The sequence below is a fragment of the Homo sapiens genome, chromosome 10 (assembly GCF_000001405.40).
Source record: "Homo sapiens chromosome 10, GRCh38.p14 Primary Assembly".
NCBI classification, from domain to species: Eukaryota; Metazoa; Chordata; class Mammalia; order Primates; family Hominidae; genus Homo; species Homo sapiens.
This window is the reverse complement of record NC_000010.11, coordinates 26776600-26801256: the sequence shown is the minus strand read 5'-3', so window position 1 is coordinate 26801256 and position 24657 is coordinate 26776600. Positions and strand designations below refer to the sequence as shown.

General features: G+C 39.5%; 1 protein-coding gene, 1 non-coding gene and 1 pseudogene across 31 annotated transcripts in view, besides 5 other annotated features; 2 read left to right on the top strand and 1 right to left on the bottom strand.

The window, feature by feature from the left end:
• The window catches only part of ABI1 (abl interactor 1), a 114363-nt gene that overhangs the window by 59702 nt on the left and 30004 nt on the right, over positions 1–24657 (top strand). For 29 of the 30 annotated variants that reach the window (NR_145410.2, XR_007061931.1, NM_001178124.2 and 26 more), the window contains one exon: positions 24016–24192. The exons of the other annotated variant lie outside the window; for it this stretch is intronic. Coding sequence is in view for 27 of the 29 variants with exons in the window: in NM_001178124.2 (NP_001171595.1) it covers positions 24016–24192 (177 nt within the window). In the remaining 2 variants the exon portion in view is untranslated. The remainder of the gene's footprint in view (positions 1–24015; positions 24193–24657) is intronic. 30 annotated transcript variants of the gene reach the window in all.
• Positions 10569–10658: a silencer, noted in NCBI's record as "silent region_2239". NCBI's record gives its function as "represses an Ori minimal core promoter by ATAC-STARR-seq in GM12878 lymphoblastoid cells {active_cell/tissue: GM12878}" and the evidence as "EXISTENCE:reporter gene assay evidence [ECO:0000049][PMID:35858748]".
• On the top strand, positions 10611–10717 carry RNU6-946P (RNA, U6 small nuclear 946, pseudogene; annotated as a pseudogene).
• On the bottom strand, positions 12100–12240 carry LOC124900293 (small nucleolar RNA SNORA57). The gene has a single exon (XR_007062399.1). It is a non-coding gene; the product is annotated as a small nucleolar RNA SNORA57 (small nucleolar RNA).
• Positions 18500–19241: an enhancer, noted in NCBI's record as "H3K27ac hESC enhancer chr10:27070945-27071686 (GRCh37/hg19 assembly coordinates)". NCBI's record gives its function as "activates a minimal SCP1, AML or CMV promoter by ChIP-STARR-seq in primed H9 embryonic stem cells {active_cell/tissue: H9 hESC(primed)}" and the evidence as "EXISTENCE:reporter gene assay evidence [ECO:0000049][PMID:30033119]".
• Positions 19358–19467: an enhancer, noted in NCBI's record as "active region_3175". NCBI's record gives its function as "activates an Ori minimal core promoter by ATAC-STARR-seq in GM12878 lymphoblastoid cells {active_cell/tissue: GM12878}" and the evidence as "EXISTENCE:reporter gene assay evidence [ECO:0000049][PMID:35858748]".
• Positions 20048–20177: an enhancer, noted in NCBI's record as "active region_3174". NCBI's record gives its function as "activates an Ori minimal core promoter by ATAC-STARR-seq in GM12878 lymphoblastoid cells {active_cell/tissue: GM12878}" and the evidence as "EXISTENCE:reporter gene assay evidence [ECO:0000049][PMID:35858748]".
• Positions 20288–20447: an enhancer, noted in NCBI's record as "active region_3173". NCBI's record gives its function as "activates an Ori minimal core promoter by ATAC-STARR-seq in GM12878 lymphoblastoid cells {active_cell/tissue: GM12878}" and the evidence as "EXISTENCE:reporter gene assay evidence [ECO:0000049][PMID:35858748]".

Sequence of the window (24657 nt, the reverse complement as noted above, 5' to 3'; positions counted from 1 at the left end):
TGTATTTTCTAGAAACAAATACATTTTACTGCATCACCGTATTACGCTCATCAAAGTCGGGTGATTACCACTGATACATTGCTACCATCTAATCAACAAATTCCATTCAAGTATGCCAGTTGTTCCAGTAGTTTCATAGGAAAGGATCCAGTTCAGAAACATTAAATGTCATGTCTCCTTCATCTTCCTCAGTCTGGCACAGTTCCTCAGTCTTCTCTTGACCTCATCTGACCTTGATCCTTTGTTTTTTGAGATGGAGTTTTGCTCTTGTTGCCCAGGCTGGAGTGCAATGGCACAATCTCGGCTCACCGCAGCCTCTGCCTCCTGGGTTCAAGTGATTCTCCCGCCTCAGCCTCCCCAGTAGCTGGGATTGCAGGCGTGTGCCACCATGTCTGGCTAATTTTGTATTTTTAGTAGAGATGGGGTTTCTCCATGTTGGTAAGGCTGGTCTCGAACTCCCGACCTCCCAAAGTGCTGGGATGACAGGCGTCAGCCACTGTGCCTGGCCCCTTGATTTTTTCTTTTTGAGGCAAGGTCCTGGTCTGTCACCCAGGCAGCAGTGTAATGGTCCTGTCATGGCTCGTTGCATCCTCCACCTCCTGGGCTCAAATGATCCTCCTGCCTTATTTTTTTGTTTTATTTTATAGAGATGAGTTCTCACTATGTTTCCCAGGCTGGTCTCAAACTGGAGGGTTCAACCATCCTCCCACCTTGGCCTACCAAAGTACTGGAATTATAGGTGTGAGCCACCGTGCGCGGCTGACCTTGATACTTTGGAAAATTTATAGCCAGTTGTTTTGTAGAATGTGTCTCCGTATGGGTATGTGTAATGCTTCCTTGTGATTAGATTCAGGAGTTTTGTTTTTGTTTTTGAGACACAGTCTCACTCTTTCCCCCAGGCTGGAGTGCAGTGGCGCGATCTTGGCCCACTGCAACCTCTGCCTCCAGGGTTCAAGCGATTCTCCTGCCTCAGCCTCTTGAGTAGCTGTGACTGTAGGCACACGCCACCATGCCCGGCTAATTTTTTGTATTTTTAGTAGAGACGGGGTTTCACCATGTTGGCCAGGCTGGTCTTGAACTCCTGACCTCAGGTGATACACCTAGGTTGGCCTCCCAAAGTGTTGGGATTACAGGCTTGAGCCACTGCGCCCGGCCCGATTCAGGTGATATATTAAGGATGACTTTTTGAAGGCAGTAGTTTCCTATTTAAAAGCTGCTCCCACTGTCTTAATTTTTTTTTTTTTTTTTTTTTACGTTTTTGTGGTTTATATTGTAAAATTGTTTTCCAAGTGTTTTTAGTTTTGTGTCTTTAGAATCTGTGATAATATGGAAATCTAGAGGAAGCCTGTAGAGAACTTGGCATGCCCATCAAGATGTGATGTCCCTAAAAATATTTTGAAAGAGAGCAGCAAAATGTACTGTCAGAGGAATTTTTTTCAATTAATTGGGAATAATTGATTTTGCTATAATTTGTCATTAAGATCATTTCTAATTGAAAAATTCTTTGGGTTTTGAATTGCAAATGGTACTTGAACTTCTAACGCATAAATAAGTATATTTAATTATGGCAGAACTTATTTCTAAAATAGCCTTCTTGGTTAAAACAAATTGTACACATTTCATCTCTCAGTTTTAGCTCTGAAATGATTTGAAAATCCAAACGAAGGCAGTCAGAATCACTGTTCTAAGCCTATTTTTAGATTTTTTCCCCTTCAGTTGGTTTCCTTTCTAGCCACCTGCAGTTTTATGTGCAGTTGCACGTGCTCATTTTTTCTAATTTCCCCCCTCCCCCGAAGCTTGGCAAGCAGCTTCTTTATTGCTTTTGGTTTGTTCTTTTTGAAGAGCACAGTGTAAATTATAAAGCCTTCATTGAGTATTTAAATGTATTTTAAAATATTTTTGAGAAAATGCAGCATAATTATGGAATACAGGACACTCTGCCTCTAAGAATCTTTTCTGATTATAGTTCTCGATATTATATTAATATACTATATATTAATATGCAGAATATATCTTTTTTATTCTTGCAGTTTTTTTCTGTTTTTAAAGATTTGTCTGGATGACAGAGCTTTGGGAGATGGAACTGGAAAAAAGCTAAAAAAATTGCCTCTTCTAAGAAATCATATAACTGGATTCACAAAAATACAGTGATACTTATTTTAATAGGAGTACTATTGAATTTACATTTAATGTAGTTAATGATATATTTGAATTCAAATGAAACAACATCATTTTGTGTTTTCTACTTATGTCATCTGTTCTGTCTCTTTTTTCTCCTTTCTTTCTTTTGGATTAACTTCCTTCGGAGATTTGTTACATGTGTACATGCTGACTCCTGCTTGTGGTGAATTTTTTTCCTTATGTGTTTTGTAAATTTGTGTTGTAAGCTTATTTTAAGATCTCATGTGTTGAGATCTCTGTGCCACTTAAGGGATATACCATTGATAAGCTAAGCTGAAGGTATATTCCCTGTTCTGCTAAGTGTTCTAGGATGCCGTCAGTCCAGGACTATTTATACTTTTTGAACCTGAAAACTTCATGGAAATGTGTATACTTTCTAGAACATTCCCCAACCCCACCTCAGTGTGTGCGCCTTAGTTTCCTATAGTTGCTGTAACAAATCACCGCAAATTTAGTGGCTTATAACATATCTTTATTATCTTACAGTTCTGGAGGTCAGAAGTTTGAAATGGGTTTCACTGAGCTAAAATTAATATGTGGATAGGGCTGTGTTCCTTCTAGAAGCACTAGGGGAGCATCTGTTCCCTTGCCTTTTTTCAGCTTCTAGAGGCCACCTGCACTTTTGGCGCATGACCCCTTCATCCATCTTTAAGTCACCAATGGCCAGTTGAGTCTTTTTCGTATGGCATCACTGATCAGTACTGACCCTCTGGCCTCCCTCTTTGGCTTGTAAGGACCCTCGTGATTTCATTTGATTCACCCCCCCCAATACTGGATAGCACCCCGTCTCAAGATTCTTAATCACATCTGCAAAGTCCCTTTTGCTATATCAGTTCTAACTTCCCACCTTCAGCAAGCCCAAAGGGTATTTTAATTTTGTCCCCATGTGGCATAAAAGTACAAGCTCCTTTGCTAGAGGCCAAAAAGCTACTACAGAGTAGCTGCAGCCTTGTTCATGTTTTCTGCTCTGAATTTTTGTCCTCTCTTTTTCCTAGTCTCCCTGGATTTTCTTTACTCTCTTTAGTTTTGGACTGTGAATTTTAAAAAGATGCTTTCATAGCATCTTTAAATCAAGCATTTTTAGGTAGTTTCTAGTGGGAGAGATTTCAGGTTATCTAATGTGCCATATTGCTCTAGTTGGCATTGCTTATATTAGTAAGGTAATAATGACTTTAACAAGACATAAAGTCTGTTACTTTGTTTTCCTATTATCCTTTAATTTAAAATGCTTTTAATGTCAATCAAAACCCCTCAGTGAATCTCATCTTTGAAAAGTCAGTTAATTGTGATTAAAACTCAGTTTCTTCATATGAACATTCCGTTCTACTCTGATATCGACAAGCCATGCTTTTTTTCTTTAATCTGAACAGCATGTCTTGGTTTACAGCTCTGACCCCACTATTCAGCCAGATCAGGTTTTTCCTACCATGCCTTGCCTTCCTTCTTGACTGTCTGCTGAGATTCTCCCTCATTTTTACATTTTCTGTGTTTCTGCTTATCTCATTTGAGCTAAAGGCATATAGATACTCTTCTGTACCAAGCTGTTATCTTTGGACTTCATTTTACAACTCCCTCCCTTCCTCCCTGTGATAATATGTGAATGTGATTAAAAACCAGTCACATACTACCTAAGGGATTACAATGACAAGCGGAATTCAGTGCAATCCCTTCCTATCCCTAGTCGTGCTTTCTAGAGCACTTATAGAGTGCATATTGTATACCAGGCTTTTTACATAAATGAACACCTATGAATTAATTCATTCTTATAACAACCTCATTTTACAGATGAAGAAATTGATACACAAAGAGCTTAGGCAACTTGTTCAGGATAATACATCTATTAAATGGCATCATTTGAACCAGGCAGTCTGGTTTTAGAATCTACTTGTTATCACTATGCTATACTGTCCTTAGTTTTAGACTAAAAATTACTTTCCTTTAGACTTAAAAAATAAATTTTACTGTGTATATTTGAGGTTTACAACATGACGTTATGGCAGGGGTCCCCAACCCCTGAGCTACTGGCCTGTACTAGTCCGTGGCTTGTCAGGAACCGGGCTGCATAGCAGGAGGTGAGCAGAGGGCCAGCGAACATTACTGCCTCCTGTCAGATTAGCTGTGGCATTAGATTCTCACAGGAGCGCAAACCCTATTGTGAACCTTATGTCCAAGGGACCTAAGTTGCATGCTCCTTATGAGAATCTAATGCCTGATGATCTGAGGTAGAACAGTTTAATCCCAAAACCATTCGCCTGTCTCCCCAGTGCGTGGAAAATTGTCTTCCACAAAACCGGTCCCTGGTGCCAAAAAGGGGACTGCTGTGTTATGGAATACATATAGACAGTAAATTAGTTACTATAGTGAAGCAGATAAACACATCTGTCATTTCACATAGTTACTTTTGTTAAGTGATGAGCACCTAAAATCTACTTATTTAATGAAAATCCTTAATACAGTCATGCTTGCTTAATGACAAGGAAATGTTCTGAGAAATGTATTCCTAGGCCATTTTGTTGTGTGAACATCATAGAGTGTACTTACGCAAACCTAGATAGTACAGCCTACTGTATACCTAGGCCCTATGGTACAGCCTGTTGCTCCTAGGCTACAAACCTGTACAGCATGTTACTGTCCTCAGTCCTGTAGGCAATTGGAACACAGTGGTATTTGTGTATCCAAGCATGTCTAAACATAGAAAAGGTACAATAAAAATACAGTATTATAATCTTATGGAACTATTGTTATTATGTGGTGTGATATATATGTGGTCCATTGTTGACCAAAATGTTATGTGACACATGACTGTACAATACAGTTTTATTAACTGTAGTCCTCGTGTTGTACATGGATCTCTAAACTTATTCTGAATATCTGCTATTTTGTATCTTTTGACCCACAGCTCCCTCTCCTTTCCCCCCAAAATAACCATGGTAACCACTGTTTCATTCTCTATTTCTGTGTATTTGAGCTCTTTTATTTTATTTTTTGAGACTGGGTCTCACTCCGTCACCCAGGCTGGAGTGCAGTGACACAATCATGGCTCATTGCAGCTTAGACCTACGAAGCTTTTGAGCTCTTTTATTTTATTTTTTGAGACTGGGTCTCACTCTGTCACCAGGCTGGAGTTTCTCCGTATTGCCTTGGTTATTTAGGATTTTTGTGGCTCTGTATGGATTTTAGGATTGTTTTTTCTATTTCAGTGGAGGATGCCATTAGAATTTTGATAGGGATTGGGTTAAATCTGTATATTGCTTTGGGTAGTATGGCTGTTTTAACAATATTAATTATTCCTATCTATGAACATGGGATATCTGTCCATTTATTTGTGTCTTCAGTTTCTTTCATCAGTGTATTATAGTTTTCAGTGTACAAATCTTTAACCTTCTCGGTTAAATTTACTCCTAAGTATTTTTTTTTGGATGCTATCATAAATGGAATTGTTTTCTTAATTTCCTTTTCATCTGGGTTATTGTGTGTAGAAATGTTACTGATTTTTGTATGTTGATTTTGTATTCTTTAACTTTACTGAATTCATTAGTTCTAGCAGTGTTTTTATCTTTTCTGTGGGATCTTTGGGGTTTTCTGTATTTAGGAACATGTCATTTGCAAATAGAGATAATTTTACTACTTCCTTTCTGATTTAAATGCCTGTTTATTTCTTTTTCTTGTTTGATGGCTCTTGCTAGTACTTCTAGTACTGTGTTAAATAAATTTTTTTATTTTAGAAGTCAACATATTTTAAAGGAAATAGTTCATTTCTTCTCCCTTCCAATATTGTCATTGAGATGTCTTATGTGTCACTGATTGCAGATCCTTTGTATATTCTTATCTTTTTCTCTCTGGAAACTTTTGGCATATTTAATCTCTACTGTGGTGCTTTGAAATTTCACAGTTATGTAACTTGGTATGGTGTTTTTGGTTTTTTTTTTTTTTTGAGACAGTCTCGCTCTGTCGCCCAGGCTGGAGTGCAGTGGTGCGATCTTGGCTCACTGCAATCTCCGCCTCCTTGGTTCAAGCAATTCTTGTACCTCAGCCTCCCGAGTAGCTGGGATTACAGGCGTGCGCCACCATGCCTGGCTAAGTTTTGTATTTTTAGTGGAGGCAGGATTTCGCCATGTTGGCCAGGCTGGTCTCAAACTCCTGGCCTCAAGCAATCCGCCCAACTCAGCCTCCCAAAGTGCTGGGATTACAGGCATGAGCCACCACTCCTGGCCCTAAGTAACAACTTCTAATGTCTAAGATTGCTAAGATGAGTTGTATTTATTATTGGCTATAAGCTTTTTCTAGTTTCATATCATCAGGTAAACTCAGTTAAAAACTTGAATAAGAACTGGGAAACAATAATAATAATAAAAAGCTAACATATATTGATTTTTCTACATGCCAGACACTGTTGAAAATCCATTCTATATATTGCTTCATTTAATCCTTACAGTAACTGTGTGAAGTTGATAACTGTTTTTTTGCTTGTTTTTACATCTCGTATGTATGGTAAGGAAACTGAGGGCATAGGATGGTTAAGTAACTTACCCATGTGCACACAGTTAGTAAATGGTACAACCACCTATTAAATCCACACAGTTTGGTTCCTGAACTCAACTCTTAGTCATTAGACTGTACTTCCTGACATATGTAGAGAATTTTATTTTACTTATTTTTTATTTATTGAGACATGGTCTTGTTTTGTCACCCAGTTTGGAATGTAGTGGCATGATCACTGTTTACTGCAGCTTCAACCTCCTTAAGCAATTCTCCTGCCTCCTGTGTAGCTGGAACTACAGGCGTGAGCCACCATGCCTGGCTAATGTATTTATTTTTATTATTTTTATTTTTATTTATTTTGGAGACAGGGTTGCTCAGGCTGGAGTACAGTGGCACGATCTTGGCTCAATGCAACCTCTGCATCCTGGGTTCAAGGGATTCTCCTGCCTTAGCCTCTCGAGTAGCTGGGACTACAGGCGCACATGTCATGCCCGGCTAATTTTTATATTTTTTGGTAGAGATGGCGTTTCACCATGTTGGCCAGGCTGGTCTTGAACTCCTGACCTCAAGTGATCCACCCACCTTGGCCTCCCAAAGTGGTGGGATTATAGGCGTGAACCACTGCACCCGGCCCTTGCCTGGCTAATTAAAAACAATTTATTTTTTGTAGACACAGGGTCTCACTATGTTGCCCAGGCTGGAGAATTTTAAATATATCATCTTTTTAAGAAGGGAGAGACACTCATGAAATATTAAAACAAATGTTAGTTGTTAGGTAAGAAGTAGTAGGTTGAAGAATTAAGTTCAAATTCATGACCTGGTGCTTAGAAGATCAACTGTGATCTAATGTTCTATTAAAAGCTCATATTTAGCTTAGATTCTAGTTTGGATAAAAAATGATTATCACTAAATTAGGCAAAAAAGTTTCCTTTTTGAGGTGGGTATGTAATTACCACATAGAGTATTTAGTAGTTTGTCTTATATAATTAAGCAGGCGAGGAGGAGACAGAAAAATGTCATGGGAAGTACTAAAAAATTAGACGTGGGCCAGAATGTTAGTGACAGATTCAGTTTTTCCCAGGCCAAAATATTTCAGAATAATTCTGATCCAAGTGGTTTTTGTTTTTCCACCAGAGTCTGATTTTGCAGCTCATCTTTTCTAAATAGATCTATTTTATGGTGTGTATATGGGTCATTCTGAATCAAGTTAACTTCGAAGTTGATTGGGACCTTGTTTCAAGCTTATTGAACAAAGATCTGTAACACAGAATTTTGGGCATAAGGCCATTTCCAGAGTCTGGTCCAAATAAGCAATAACAGACAAAGATTGTCTCTTTCTTGGCTGAAGGCTTCCTCTGTGCAGCTTGTCTCAGGACTCTCTTCTTCTGCCCTTTTTATACCCCTCTCCTTTCTCTATTCAGGGCAAAAATATTTTGATTTTCATTCTGTAGTTATTTTTTAGCAAACATTTATTGTGTTTTTACTTATGTACAAGGTTCTTTGCTTAAAACCTATAATGCCCTTCCTGTAGTAGCAGTGGCAGTTGTGAGGATGATAGTAGGCCTTCTGAGATGATATTGTAGAAAATCCATGGAACGTTAAGTAGTGTTGCTATGTCATACTTCTTTCCTGCCTGGCTTTCTGTCTTTTGATGATTAAGAAGGATTTTTCTGGAAGATCTTTAAAAGAAGCATATGTGTTATTTTTATTTCCTCCAGAGTGACAAGGGAGAGGAAAAAGAACAAAATGAAAACCTATTTCTATACAGCAGTTTAAAATAATCATATCTTAAAAGATAATTTTAAAATCTTGTCTGCTTATGGAGTTTGTCATTTTATTTCTACATTTTAGAAAATGTTTTCCTCTCTAAATATAATTGCTTTTAGAATATTTTAATGTTTCCTTTAGAACATTTGTTTACCACACAATTAATTTTATTTATTCAATTCCCAATCTACTTATTTTTATAAAAGCCTTGCTTGACCATTTAAAAAGAAGTTTTCAAATTTGGTCTCCTAATTTCCATAATCTTTTCTTCAACTCTTAATTAGAGTAGAGTTCAACTTACTTTTATTCATACTATTTTAGCTTTTCTCTCATCTCGGAGAAGGTGTTGTGTTTTCATGCCTCTTTTCCCTGGCTTATGCTGTCCCCTGTGCTTGGATTTTGACCTTTTTCCCCACTCTCCTTTTTTCTCTTTCACCTGCCAGTTATGGCTGGCAAAAATGAGGTTTCTTTCATGGAGTCTTTTGATGTTGCTTCAGGAATATTAATCATTCTTTTCTGTATGCTATTTGTGTGTAATTAAAGACAAAAATTACACTTATTCAAAAGAATAAATGTAATATATGTTATGCATATATAATAAATCAGACATCTCTGAATCCATCGTTAAAACTAAAAACTAGAAAATGACCAATTCTGTTTCTTTTCTCTGTATACTTCTCACCAACCACAAAAGGGATGTTTATCATTCCCTTGCACTAAACATTTTTTTAAATCGCATGTATGTGTATCACTAAACAATTATTGTTTAATTTTGCTTGTGTTTGGGCTTATAACAATGGATTCATCCTGTATGTAGTCTAGCATGGCTTGCTTTTTTTATTCAGCATTATAATTTCTAAGATTTATCCGTATTACATATACATAGTTCATTCATTAGTAGTTTGTTCATTCTCATTATATAGTGTATAATATTTCAAGTATAAATATGCCATTTATTTGCATTTAAATGTAAAGGATCTGGAATTAGTTTTTTCCTATGGTTTGAGGTAGGGATCCATTTTCAGTGTTTTTTTCTATATGGCAAAATAGTTGCTCTACTCAAATAAAACATTCTTCTTACTGTGCTATCACTGTAAGATACCAAGTTTCCTTATAAGCATGATTTTTTTTCTGAATTCTCTCTTCTGTTGTATTGGTCCATTTATTTAACCCTGTAAGAACCCTACTATCTTCTTTACTATGGCTTCGTATCTCAATAGGCAAGTTACCCTCCTCCCTTCTAGTTTTTCTTTTAGACCATGTCTTAGCCATTCTTTCCCCTTTGCCCTCCCATATAAATTTAGAACCTTTAAAATCTCTGTTGGCATTTTTATTGGAATGCATTGAAGCTGTAGATCAGTTTGGAAAGACTTGGCATCAAGGTAACATGGGATAGAAGGGGGACAATCGGGTGTATGTGTGGTTGTGAGTAGATGGGGGTGTGTTGTATCTGGCTTTGAAGACCATTTAAGTTTTTTTCCAGGTTTTTCTTTCAAACTCCTATCTCACTGTTTCCTTATTTCTTATTTATAACTTGAAGTAAAATATAATTGGATAGGGGAGAGAGCTTTTAGGGTTTTATTCAGGGTGTTCTAGTAATTTTTACTTTGAATATTTCTCTTGATTATGTTATGTTCCATATTGCCTTTAGTCTCTCTCACAACTCTTGATATGATTTTTGCTTGTCATAATGAGTCTGCCAAAAGAGTTTTCCACTTGTATTATATTCGCTCTGTTTTTTTTTTTTTTTTTTTTTTTGAGACGGAATCTTACTCTTACCTGGGCTGTAGTGCAGTGGTGTGATTGTGGCTCACTGCAGCCTTGACCTCTTGGGCTCAGGTGATCCTCCCACCTCAGACTCCTGAGTAGCTGGGACTGCAAGTGTGTGCCACCATGCCCAGCAAATTTTTTTGCATTTTTTGTAGAGATGGGGTTTCACCATGTTGCCTAGGCTAGTCTCGAATTCCTGGACTCAAATGATCCATCCTCCTTGGCCTCCCAAAGGGCTGGGATTATAGGTGTGAGTCACTGAGCACAGCCAGTATTAGCTCTGTATTATGCCTCTTGCATTACCCAAATTCAGAGGCCTTGTTTGCTTTTATTGGACTAACTAGAACTATGTCATTTTTACCAGCCCATTGCAGTACAGTTTCATTTTATGTGATAAAAATACAACATAAGTGGTCACTTCTGCAGCACGTACACTAAAATTGGAACAATACAGAGAGGATTAGCATGGCCCCTGTGCAAGGATGACATGCAAATTCATGAAGTGTTCCACATTTTTCTGACAAAGGTCTAATATCCAGCTTCTATAAGGAACTTAAAAGAAAAAAAAACAACCCCATTAAAAAGTGGGCAAAGGACTTGAACAGAGAACAGACACTTCTCAGAAGACATACATGTGCGGCCAACAATCATTTGAAAAAAAATTCAACATCACTGACCATTAAAGAAATGCAAATAAAAACCACAATGAGCTACCATCTCATACCAGTCAGAATGGCTATTATTAAAAATTCAAAAAAATAACAGATGCTGGCGAGGTTGTGGAGAAAAAGGAATGCTTTTACACTGCTGGTGGGAATGTAAATTAGTTCAACCATTGTGGAAGACAGTGTGGTGAATCCTCAAAGACCTAGAGACAGAAATACCATTTGACCCAGCAATCCCATTACTGGGTGTATACCCAAAGGAATATAAATTATTCTGTTATAAAGACACATGCACATGTATGTTCACTGTAGCACTATTCACAATAGCAAAGACGGAATCAATCTAAATGTCCCATCAGTGATAGACTGGATAAAGAAAATGTGTGGTACGTATACACCATGGAATACTATGCAGCCATCAAAAAAGAATGAGATCATGTCTTTTGCAGGGACATGGATGGAGCTGGAGGCCATTATCCTTAGCAAAGTAATGCAGGAACAGAAAACCAAATACTGCATGTTCTCACTTATATGTAGGAGCTAAATGATGAGAACATATGGACACATAGAGGGGAACAGTGCACACTGGGGCCTACTGGAGGGTGAAAGGTGGGAAGAGGGAGAGGACCAGGAAAAACCTAATGGATACTAGGCTTAATACCTGGGGGATGAAATAATCTGTACAACAAACACCCATGACACATGTTTACTTATGCAACAAACTAACACATCTTACATATGTACCCCTGAACTTAAAAGTTAAAAAAAACATAAAATATTAATAAAATACAGAAAATCCCTTTTAAAATGTGAAGATTTCCTTCACATTAAAAATTTTGTGAACCACTGCGTAATTTCAAAACTGAAAAGGGGATTAAACAGTTTCTTTTATTGTCATTTGATGTTTAGTCAGGAAACGGAAACACCATCATTTGTTATACGTCTTGAATTTTGTGAGCTTTGAATTATATAAAACATATGTAATTCAAATGTGTGTATGTATTCATGCTTTAAAAGGTGATTCCCCCTGTACATGTTCATTTTTTTGGTTACTTCCAAATTTGTTCCATGTATATTCTATTTTGATTTTGTCTCTTCTCCTTCAGGTGCTGATGCATCAAGCATGGTCTTCATTTATTGACAACTTGTCTTTGGGTTTTTATCTTTTCTCTAGTTAGTACTTTTGATACCCCTACCTCTAAGATCCACTTTCTTTTTTCTTTTTCCTTTTCCCTGGTGTCCTGGTGCTTGAGGATAGAACTGGCAGACGGGAAGCTGCATGGCTCCAAAGACATGCCAAGGGGGCCAGAGCTCTTCCCTTTGCCTCTGTACATAACAGGGAGTGGGACTACAAGTTCCTGCCAAGAAAATGAGGATCCACTTTTTTTTTTTTCTCAAATGAATTTTAGCATTTGTTTACGTTGGAATCAGTTGAGTTTTCAAACTGCTGGTATCTTTTTTTTTTTTTTTTTTTTTTTTGAGACGGAGTCTCGCTCTGTTGCCCAGGCTGGAGTGCAGTGGCGTGATCTTGGCTCACTGCAAGCTCTGCCTCCCAGGTTCATGCCATTCTCCTGCCTCAGCCTCCCGAGTAGCTGGGACTACAGGCGTCCGCCAACCACGCCCAGCTAATTTTTTGTATTTTTAGTAGAGACGGGGTTTCACTGTGTTAGCCAGGATAGTCTCGATCTCCTGACCTCGTGATCCGCCCACCTCGGCGTCCCAAAGTGCTGGGATTACAGGCGTGAGCCACTGCACCCGGCCTCAAACTGCTGGTATCTTAATGTTTATTAGACTGGCTTTGAGGAGTTCTTAAAAATTGTATTGCCAGTGGCAAAACTGGAGATTTGAACCTAAATCACATTCATCATATTTCAAATACATAATGTGTTACATTCATGTTTTCATATTAATATTTTAGAAATGCTTTATCTTAATTGCAGAGTTGTAGATTGGGTAGTTTGATAAATAAGATTCAGATTTATTATTTTTTAGTACTTTTTTGTATCAAGCAATGTTAGAGTTTCTAATATGCTATTCCCATTTTATATAAGCTGTGTTAGTCCGTTTTCACATTGCTGATAAAGACATACCTGAAACTGGGAAGAAAAAGAGGTTCAGTTGGGCTTATAGTTCCACATGGCTGGGGAGGCCTAAGAATCATGCCGGGAGGCAAAATGCCCTTCTTACACGACGGCAGCAAGAGAAAATGAGAAGGATGCAAAAGTGGAAACCCCTGATTAAACCATCAGATCTCGTGAGACTTATTCACTACCACGAGAACAGTATGAGGGAAACCGACCCCGTGATTAAAATTATCTCCCACTATGTCCCTCCCACAACACGTGAGAATTATGGGAGTACAATTCAAGATGAGATTTGGGTGGGGACACAGAGCCAAACCTTATCATAAGCAAAATGAAATTTTAGTTAATTAAAACTTGCATAAAATGTTATATCCAATAAGCAAAAGAGTTAGTATTCAAACATAATTTTCTAATTTCAAGATTGCACGCTTTTTTTTTTTTTTTAACCAGTGGGTCTAAGGATTGCTATAGGGTACTCTCCTGGGCCATCTAGTTCTTCTCAACTGGGGTTACTCTGATTTTGACTCTCATATATTAAGACTAAAAGCTTATTGTTTTTTAATGTCAGACTGCTGCTTTTGCTATGTAAAGTTGAAGAAAAATGTATGAAAGTAAGGAAATTCAAGTATGAGAAAGAATTAGTCTCGCTGAAAAAGCTAACTCTCGCTTGGTGAACATATGCATGCTGTTGTTATACAAATGTTCCAAACCTGTTCCCTTTTTTTTGCTCACCCTGCCATATGGAGGGTTGTGCTTTGCTGGACATGTTGTGTTTTGGACTTCTATGATTCAGAATTGAGAGAATGGAGAGGGAGTAGACCAGAGTAGAATTTTTCAAGTAATTTGAAATCGTGTCCTGAATAATTCTGCAGTGTGTGAGTGAAGTAGGAAGGGTGAAAAAAGGATGATTTTAAGGAGGAGAGTTGTGGATTCCATGATGTTTGAGAAAAATAGGGAAAGAACAAGACATTTTGAATTAATTTTTCCCTTGAGGACTGGGGACCATGTGGGATGCTCTTTTAATAGGGTTTAAACAGGTGAGATGTACACATTTTTCATTTTGTTTTCTCAAGTTTACTTCTTTTGTAAAGATCTCCATGGTTACACCATAGAGAGCAGACTGGAAAAAGGCCAGACTGGGTACAAGTGGACCAATTAGAAGACTGTTGCAATAGCCAAGGTGAGAGATGATAGTAGATTGAGTAGGATTAAAGTGTTAGAAACAGATTTCTGGTATTTAAAGGTAGATGTGACAGGATTTAGTAAAATTAAACATGAAGTAAATGCTAGATGTCTGACTTACATAAACCAATAGAGAATTGAAGTAGGAGCATTGAAATAGGATTGAGGAGCCTGTGTGTTTGATTTTGAACACGTTCACTTTAAGGTACCATTGAAATATCTGAGAGAATGTCAGTTTTATACACGAACCTATAGCTTAGAGGAGGGTTCTTGAATAGATAAAGAAAAGTTTGTGTGTATATATGGTAATTTAAGCCTGAATGTGGATGAGTTTGCCGAGGGGTCATAAAGAGGAAAATGAACTGGGAGACACTGTCTGTAACGTGACCTTAGAAAGGAGACAGAGAATGAGTGTTCGGGAGAGTTAGAAACAAACCTAGGTAAATACTGGTCCATCTTTTCCAACTCCCATTGAAATCTCAATATTTTCCCTTCTATGGAGTTAGGGATTCCTCAACTTAATTCTGTGCTGAGCAGAACTGAGCTAAAATTTGTACTAGTGCTGGACCTATTAGAAAAGGGAGGAGTTTAAAAGATGTGTAGAGAGGCGGGGCATGGTGGCTCATGCCTGTAATCCCAGCACTTTAGGAGGCCGAGGCGGGCAAATCACTTGAAGTCAAGTCAGGAGTTTGAGACCAGCCTGGCCAACATGGTGAAGCCCCGTCTCTACAAAACATACAAAAATAAGCCGGGTGTGGGGGCACATGCCTGTAGTCCCAGCTACTCGGGAGTCATGAGACATGAGAATCGCTTGAACCTGGGAGGCAGAGGGCGCAGTGAGCCGAGATCGCACCACTGAACTCCAGCCTAGGCGACAGAGCAAGACCCTGTCAAAAAAAAAAAAAGTGTAGAGAGGCATTCTACAAAAATGGGGCTCTTTACGTTTTGTAACATCAATGAATCAATGATTGTATCAGATAATCCTCAGAATTACTTGGGGATGGGGGTGGTCAGAATATGTGAATTGTTTCACTATAAAAACAGTTTTTTCAAGAATTGTGAAGAGTCAGATTTTGCCCTCCATGCAAGCTAAAATCTTTCCTAGATGCTGGTAGAAGACAGAAGACTTCTGGACCAGAGACATAGGACTTTATTACTGATGAGAATAACTGGAGGCAGAGTGTTAGCATTTGTGCCAGTTTGCCAAGCCCACTGCTCCACAGAGGAAGGTGAAAGGGGCCGAGTGATGGCATGTGGTGATGCCTCTCCTGTAATGCACTGCACTCTGTTACAGGAGAGGGACCACCAGTTTAGGGAACCCAAACTTTGATAATAGGTAGTAAGCCTTGTAAGCCTACCTGAACTTCACCCTGGAGGGAGATGACTTTTTTTTTTTTTTCCCAGACAGAGTCTGACTCTGTCGCCCAGGCTAGAGTGCAGTGGCTTGATCTTGGTTCACTGCAACCTCCATCTCCTGGGTTCAAGCGATTCTCATGCCTCAGCACCCCCGCAAGTAACTGAGACTACAGGCATGTGCCACCGTGCCCGGCTAATTTTTGTATTTCTAGTAAAGACGGAATTTCACCATGTTGGCCAGGCTGGTCTCTAACTCCTGACCTCAGGTGATCTGCCCTACTCGGCCTCCCAAAGTGCTGGGATTACAGGCATGAGCCACCACACCCAACTGGAGATGATATCTTTATTGTACTAGACAGCAAACAAACCTGCCTTTTACTCCTGAGGGAGACACTGTTTCTTGATCCCTCAAGACCATTCCTTATATAATACAAACATATGTAGCAAGTTGGTATGGAACAAAATGAGTCAGTCCCTCTACTCACAACAGGTACAGAAACATGAAAGACTCAAGTATAATTGCCTTCCAACAGTATTCACCCTTCATTTCTATACCTTCTTGGCTTCTGGTAAGATTTCTTTCCCATGATTATGCAACTTCATTTGTCACTCTGATTAATCTTACCGACAGAGGCTGGGACCAGATCCATTCAGTTTTTCTTATAACACATTTCATTACAGTTACTGTCAACAGGATAGCAGGATGAGGCCAGACTGCAATATTGACTTCAATTATGCTCCCCAGGGTCCAAGACCCAGCCAACAGAACAAATGCAATAAACCTTTAGGGTCTACCTAAGAGAGCCAGGTGGCTTTCTCTTTGTTTCTGTGCTGACTTTACTCTTGGCCCAAGGCATTAATCTAGTTACTGCAGAATATAGAGCACAGATTTGGCCTTGGTCTACAAAGAGGAAGCGTAGGGCTATTCTTCTATCTGTAACAATCCTGGATAGTGATTTTAGACCGTCCTGAATGCCTCTAGGCCCAAGGTGATGTCATTGATTGCTTCAGCTAAAGTCGGGAACAAATTTCAAATAAAGTTTTCTAATTGGATGACTCCCATTATAGTGATTTTTCCCTTGGTGTGCAAGTCATCACATTTTCTGAAGGGAGGCAATGCCCGACTTCCAAACAAGAAATACTCCCAAGGACTGTGTGTGCCTATAAAGAATGTGTTGTTTATATTGTCCTACTTCTCCCCGCTCCCCCCATTCCCCCCCACCTCCCCAGTTATGTGGGACCTACTTTTAAGTCAGACGGCACAGGCTGACAGTTTCTCCAATGTGGCCTCCCTGATGGCTGGTAAGCCTTAGGGTTCCAAGTACAGTATGAATACTTCTCTAGTACTGGTTTGTGGAGAGATGGCCTGAAGGCAGTCAGTCCAATCTGTCCTGTTTATTATCTGTGCCACCAACTCAATGGCATTCATCTGTCCCTTGAAATGACTGTCCCTTGAAAAGATGCCTAAAGTTATGGACAGGTGTTTCACGTGGGAGATTTGGGAGCTTGGACCATCCTCTGCTGCTTCTGAGAGACTGTGCAGTTAAGGAGAATGATGATTGAGTAGTGATCAAAGTTGTGTGGTGGGGTAGGGGCAGACCCAGTTGTCAGTTAAATTTGAGGTTTTGCACATTTGCAGAGAAATGTCCTTTGTGAGGGATGATTCTAAAAGACGGATCACTAATGTCCCCCCTTTTTCCTTACTTCCCCGCATCTAAGGTGTTTTCCCCACAGGTGCCAGACAGGGTTGTTGTACCCCTTTGACTGCCACAAAATCAGTGTGTCCCATTCCAGTAGCTAGCTTTACCTTTTTTCCAGTCATCTCTGACTCAAACCCAGACCTTTTGTCTGGAAGGGCCAGGTGCAAGAGTGACAAAGGGCCCTTTTATTAAACTTACAGAGACCCTTTTATGTCTCCTACTTTTGTCCACATGAGCCACTCTAGGGGAAGCAGTGTACTTAACTAAGTGGTCATTATTATTTAAGACCAAAGAAATCCAGCAAGAAAATCCAGATCGTCAATTCCAGGTGGCTGAACCTGAATTAAGTTTATACCAAAGACCTCCTTTTGGCTGGGTTGCCACCCAGAGAGTAGACCAATCAAGCCAGCCTGGGATTTCCATTAGAGGAAAGAAAGAAGCATCATGTTTAGGAATGGTCAGGGTGGAATCCCAAGTGGCCAGGAGATGTTCTCTTCCTGGAGACAGCCACATTCAGTGACCAAACTGCTGTACTCCTGTGTAGACCAGGAGGAGGTGACAGAGGTATACTCAGAAATCTTTTGAGTTGATTAAAATTTTTTTTAAAATTGTGGCAAAATACATATATGATCACCATCTTAACCATTTTAAGTGTGCAGTTCAGTGGTGTTAAGTATAGTTACAATGTTGAGCAACCAATAATCTCTAGGACTCTTTTTATCTTGTAGAAATTAAACCCTATACCCATTAAACAAGTGTCCTTTGAGCTTTCCTCCCCCAGGCAAACACTATCTCCATTTTCTGTCTTTATGAATTTGACTGCTCTAGTACCTCATATAAATGGAATCATACAATATTTGTCTTTTTGTGACTGGCGTATTTCACTCAATAATGTCCTCAAGGTTCATCCATATTGTAGCATGTGTCAGAAGTTCCTTCATTGTTAAGTCTAAATACTATTCTATTGTATGTATATATCACATTTTGTGCATCCATTGATCTGTTGATGGATTGTTGGGTTACTTTCATCTTTTGGCTGTTGTGAATAAAGCTGCTAGGTGACCCTGCTTTGAATTCTTTTGAGTATATACCTATAATTGGAATTGCTGGTTATGTGCTAATTCTGTTTTTAATTTTGTGAGGAATCACTATACTATGTTTCAGAGTGACTGCAAGTGCACAAGGGCTCCAGTTTCTCCACATCCTGATTTTTTTGATAGTAACCATCATTATGGATGTGAGGTTGTGTCACATTGTGGTTTTGATTTGCATTGCCCTAATGATAAGTGGTATTGAGTGTCTTTTCATGTGCTTATTGGCCATTTGCCTGTCTTTTTTTTTTTTTTTTGAGACAGAGTCTCACTCTGTCGCCAGGCTGGAGTGCAGTGGCATAATCTCAGCTCACTGCAGCCTCTGACTCCCTGGTTCAAGCGTTTCTCCTGCCTCAGCCTCCCGAGTAGCTGGGACTACAGGCACACACCACCATGCCCAGCTAATGTTTGTATTTTTGGTAGAGATGGGGTTTCACCATGTTGGCCAGGATGGTCTCCATCTCCTGACCTTGTGATCTGCCCGCCTCGGCCTCCCAAAGTGTTGGGATTACAGGCGTGAGCCACTGTGCCTGGCCTCTATTTGCCTGTCTTCTTTGGAGAAATGTCTAGTCAAGTCTTTTGCCCATTTTTGAGTCGGGTTTTTTTTTTTGTTGTTGTTGAGGTTTTTTGAGCTGATTTTTGATAAGGCTGTTGCAGTACTAAGCGATATAAGATGCTGTGGATGGTAGACTGTCACCTACCTTGACTAACAGCTCATTGTTGAGTGACTTTTGTGATAAAAGGTGTACCTATTGTCAGATTGCAAATGATGTGGAAAGTAAAAATAGGACACAGATTAGTGTCAAGGACCACGGTACTGTGGCTGGAGTCAGCTGATTGAACTGGAATAGCAGTACCAGACCCTGGAAAAGTGTCATCAGCAGTGAGACCCCACTGATAGCCTGAAGAAGGTTGTCTGATGCAACCAATCTGCCAGTAGCATGTGATGTGGTTCCTCTCACCATGAGACAAATGAGTCCTTTTCCAGGACTCATAAGTCTAGGATGAGGTGGCAGCCTCTGCATCAGGAACATAGAGTCTTTTACTTTGTATCCACTCTATGATGATAGATATGTTGCTGTGTCTGGTATGATGATGGATCCAGCAGCAGTGGTAGCAGTCTTAACCGTGCAGCTTGATCAGTGGCTTGATTATAATTGGTCTCATCAGACAATGGACCCTTACTGTAAACATCTATATTAGTGACCCAGATGGTTTGATCAGCAACTACAATTGATCTCCATGGTTTTTGGACAGTCTTAAATATGTCATTCTGTAGTTTTCCAAGTGGCTGACTAAATACCTAGGCAGTTGGTAATAGCCTGATAGTCAGTAAAAATATAACAAGGTTTTCAAGGGGAATATTGGCCAGATCTGTGAGAATGTCCTTGAGTTTTGCCCGTGGAACAAAGCAACCACACCCATTTTCAGTTCTGTATCATGGGCACTGGAGTTTACAGCCCACTAGGCACCACAGCGTCTCAGCTTAGTTGAATCATCAGTGAAACAGGCCCAGGCATTTAGGGAACCTCTGTGAATCAAGGGCCTCACTGAGCTAGCAGATTTGGTTTAGGTGGCAGAATGTAAGATCAGACTTTCTCAAAGGGAGAAGCTGCTGCTTTTTCATGTAAAGCTGAGATGCCCTAGGGGCCAGACTGGCTGCATTCTTGAATATTACCAGTTCCATGTGATGACAGAGGCTTGTTGGGCCTTTCCCACCTTATTAGTCATTGCATTTGAGTTGACTCATTCCCAAATGGGAATCTTTTCAAAAGAGGCATACCTAGTAGCTACGTCAGGGAGGCATTGAATCCAAACCCAAGAGTCACCTGAAGAGGTTGTTCCTCTTGCCAGAGGGTCTAGTCAGGAAAGTCATCTGTGCACAGACTTGTACTCAAACAGGTCATAAGGATTGTGGGGCCCCAAACCTACTAATGCCTTTCTACATGGGCTATTCGCAGTGAGCATAATCTCCCTGGAGCTTATGAGCCCTCACAGTTCAGGCCTGTAAAATATCAATACCACTATACACTCAGAAGTGGAAGCTACAAACAGTAGTACATTGAATGGTCCAAAGAGCCCCACCCAAAAGGTCACAGTAGCTTCCCTTCCCTACTTTGAACCCTACCCAGACCTCAGCAGTTGGAAGCTGGTAACTTATTCTTCCACAGGATGGGTATGAAGGTGCCTTGGGCTCCTGTATCCAACAGAGCCATAAAATGTTGAGTCTGTGCTCTCCCCAAAGTTATGTAGCCTACCCAGGTGTGTGTGGTCTTTAGTCTCCTTTGGGAACTTGGAGAACTTGGCCCCACTCCTAATCATCTTTCTTCATAAAGCAGCTGAGGTTGAGGGATGAGGGAGGCTGGGAGAGAGTAGCTTTGCACCAGTGAACAAGAGACATTTGCTTTCAGTTTTGAGTGGTGCTATAGCTGTGTGCTGATCAGTCCAATAAACCTGCAGTAATTTTGGTGCTACCAAAACCCTGTATTCTGTGCAAGATCGTTATTGCTTGAGCCCAGGAGTTCGAGACCAGCCTGGGCAACATCGTGAGACCTCGTCTCTACTAAATATTATATTTAAAAAATTAGCCTGGCATGGTGGGATACACCTGTTATCCCAGCTGCTCAGGAGGCTGAGGTCAGAGGATTGCTTGAGTGCAAGAATTTGAAGATTGCAGTGAGCCGTGATTGTTCCACTGCACTCCAGCCTGGGTGACAGAGCGAGACCTTGTCTTACACACACACAAAAGGTCATCATTATGGATGGTATCCATTTCTGTTTGGGAACACCTTGATCGAACAACTATAGCTTTGTTGCTTTCTGATGGGGGAAATGGGTTTTATACCCTTTGGCTGACGGGCTTGATCTGCACAATGGCATCATTTTTTAGAAGTCTGCCTTAATGTAGGCTCTTTACTGCTCCATTGTTAAGATAATGTCAAGATTATATCTCTTAAATTCTTGCTTGATTTCAATACTAGGGCTACTGGAGTTTTCTAAGGCTGCAGGACTGACAGCAAGAATTATCTAGATTCTTTGAGCTAGTTTCTGATTCTTCAGTGAATTACCTTGATCCGCATTTTAAACCCAATCTAGTACAGTAGGAGTCTGTAGACTGGTTGGTGTCCAAGGGAGTTTGTCTCAGGGAAATTTCCCTGAGAGTTTCAAAGGTTTCTTGTAGTGGACGGTTATACCACCAGAAAATGCTGAGGCCCTTTCCAGTTATCTTGAAAGGATTTAATGTTGACAAGGTAGACTGCGGTAGGAGCTGAGCACTAAGATAGCCAGCAAAATGCCATTCTTCTTTAACAACCATTACATGCCTGAGCAATGTAACTACATGCCCCTCCTCTTCCAAGCAAACTAGCCAAAGTTCTAAAGATTTGTTTGGCTCTGCCTACAATGGTTGCACCTTTTCTTACTTTCAAACTCAGTGTAGATGTATGTCTCTGTAACTGTCGTCCAAAGGAAACAGAACCTTATGTGCCCCTGTCTCCCTCTTCTAGACAAATCTTAGTCTGGAAGATTTCATGAAGCAGACCTGCTGAGGCTGACTGTCAGCTTGATAAGGAAGTCCTCCTATCTGCAGGAGTGTTGACAATAACCAAGGCATCATTCAGGCTGTTGTCTTTGAATCTGCCTACTTCCTGGTACTTATCCTGAAACTTCCTCTTCATTTCAGCCTCATTCACAGGCACTAAAGTGGAGGATCATTCATTGCCTGGTTGACCATACAATTTGGACAACATGTTGGTTAATGATTCTCGTGGACTTTTCTCAATTTCTACTAACTGGTCTTTCCTTCCATTTCTAGAAAGTTTTGTCCCCATCAGCATTCTTTTTCATTGCCAAAACTATAGAAAATTATGATGGTCCTGAGATTTATCCTTGTTAACTAATGAGTTAGCCTACCACAATTTCATGGGTTCTGTTGGAAGACATGAGACTCCTGGGTCAGAGACAAAGGACATCATTACTCATGGCAATAGTAGTAGCCAGAGTGTCGGCATTTGTGCTAGAAAACAGCCCCAGTTTCCATAGGGTACTGCAAAGAGCCAGGTGATGCCTGCATACACAGTTGTGTACATTAGAGAAAAAGTATTCTCAACTTAGGGGACCACATCTTTTATAATGGGCAGAAAACCTTTCTCCTGGAGGTCTACATTAACTTTATTATATTGGACAGTAAGCAAATCTGCCTTTGCTTTCTAAGGAGATGCTATATTTTCTAAGGCTGTTTACTCTATAAACATCCAGAACAAAGGGAGTTAGTGCATCTTCTCACAAGATGTACAGAAATGATAGATACTCATGGAGAGGTGTCTTTATCTACTTGGTTTGGAATTGGGATAGCATTTTTGATTAGAAGTTCTTTCTCGATTAAAAAGTTCTGATGAAATAAGATAGAATCATAATAGATCTGATTCAAGCGTAACATTGAGCTGTTCTTTTCCATGGGAGTACCTTTTTTTTTTTTTTTCTTTTTCCTACTTCAGTTCATATCCTGGCCTCGTCTCACCTAGACTGCCACAATTGCCCCTTAATTGGTTTCACTCTCTGCAGTCTTGTTCTTTCTGTCTTCAATACCTCTGCTAGTGGGATCTTCTTAAAATGCAGAGGTGATCATGTCACTCAATTTAAATTTGTCATCAGTTCCTTATTAAGCCAGATTTTAAGTTGTTGAGCAGTTGTATAATTATTTCTCATGTGCTGGTTACTATCCAGTTTTAAGTTGGCAACTAAATTAAAAAAATATTTTTAAAAAGTCTTGTAGACCAGTCCTAGGTAGGCTCTACCAAACAGGTGTCTAGGCTGCTTGCTGACAGTTTATATCTGCTCTTACCATTTTTCTCTCTTAAACCTTTGTCTGCAGGATGTTATTCTCTCTGCCTTTAATATTTTTCATATCTACCTCTTGACTCCTGTTTATCCTTTGTACAGAGTAGGTACAGAGTAGGTACCTACTCTGTAAAGCCATTAAATGAACCCTTTTCAACCTAGTTAGTTGTCTTGTTCTCAGCACCTTTATAGTAATTTTGAATGAACTGTGCATATGTCATTATAGCACTTGCCTCATTGTGTTGTAATTACTTTTTTGGGGGGTGTGTGGGGAGGTTCTGCATCACACTGAATAAATAAAGTGTCAGCTACTCATACCAGGACAACTTTCCCTTTCTACACATACCAAATCTCTCTCTTTTTTTTGAGACAGGGTCTCCCTCTGTTGCCCAGGCTGGAGTGCAGTGGCATAATTACAGCTCACTGCAGCCTCGACCTCCCCGGTTGAAGCAATCCTCTCACTTCATGTCCCCAGTAGCTGGGACCACAGGCACATGCCACCATGCCTGGCTGTTTTGTACTTTTTGTAGAGACAGGGTTTTGCCATGTTGCCCAGGCTGATCTTGAACTCCTGAACTCAAGCAATCCACCTGTCTTGGCCTAAAGTGCTGATATTACAGGCATGAGCCACCATGCCCGGCCCACATACCAAATTGTTAGGAAAGAAAACTGCTTTCCAGAGAATTGTTTTAGAATCAAATCCATTACATTAGTTGGTGCTTTAAACCACCACTAAATATTCTCTGCTTTTAGCCTAGTATAATTTAATAGTATTCACTGGAAAATAGACATATGGTGTACAGCCCTGTGGTCTGTCCTAAATATGGTCCAGTGTATATGGATAGCAAACATATTATGTCAAATAATATTTTCTTGTTTTGTTCAAATTAAAATATAGACTGTGGATATTCATAAGGAGAAAGTGGCACGAAGAGAGATTGGTATTTTGACAACAAATAAGAATACATCAAGAACTCACAAAATAATAGCACCTGCGAATATGGAGCGCCCTGTAAGGTATATTCGGAAACCTATCGATTACACAGTTCTGGATGATGTGGGCCATGGTGTCAAGGTAAGCATTTTATATTACATTAACAAGCTAATTTGCATATCCAGTAAATATTTTGGATAGGAAATATTGTCATAAAGATGATTTTAATAGATTCTCTTTAGCAGCTGGCATTATAATTTTCATACAATATTTAATATGAATTTTACTAAGGTTGGGGTGCAATTTTATCAGTTGAATAGGCTGTATTAAAAAGATATTAAAATTAGAAATGGTTATTAAGCCATAAATCCTAGACAAATATTACCCATTTGTGTTGTGAATTCTATGTCTTTCTTTCACTACTGAACATTTAAAAATAAAAGTCTACATGCTTTTCAAAATTACTTTAGAAAATAATTTATAAATACTTTTATCGTTTCATTTCTAAATATGTATATATATTTGTATACCTGTGTGTGTATCTATAATGCCAGCAACTTATTAAAAAATGAAAATTGTATGTAATTTTGTCTTAATGCCCCCCAA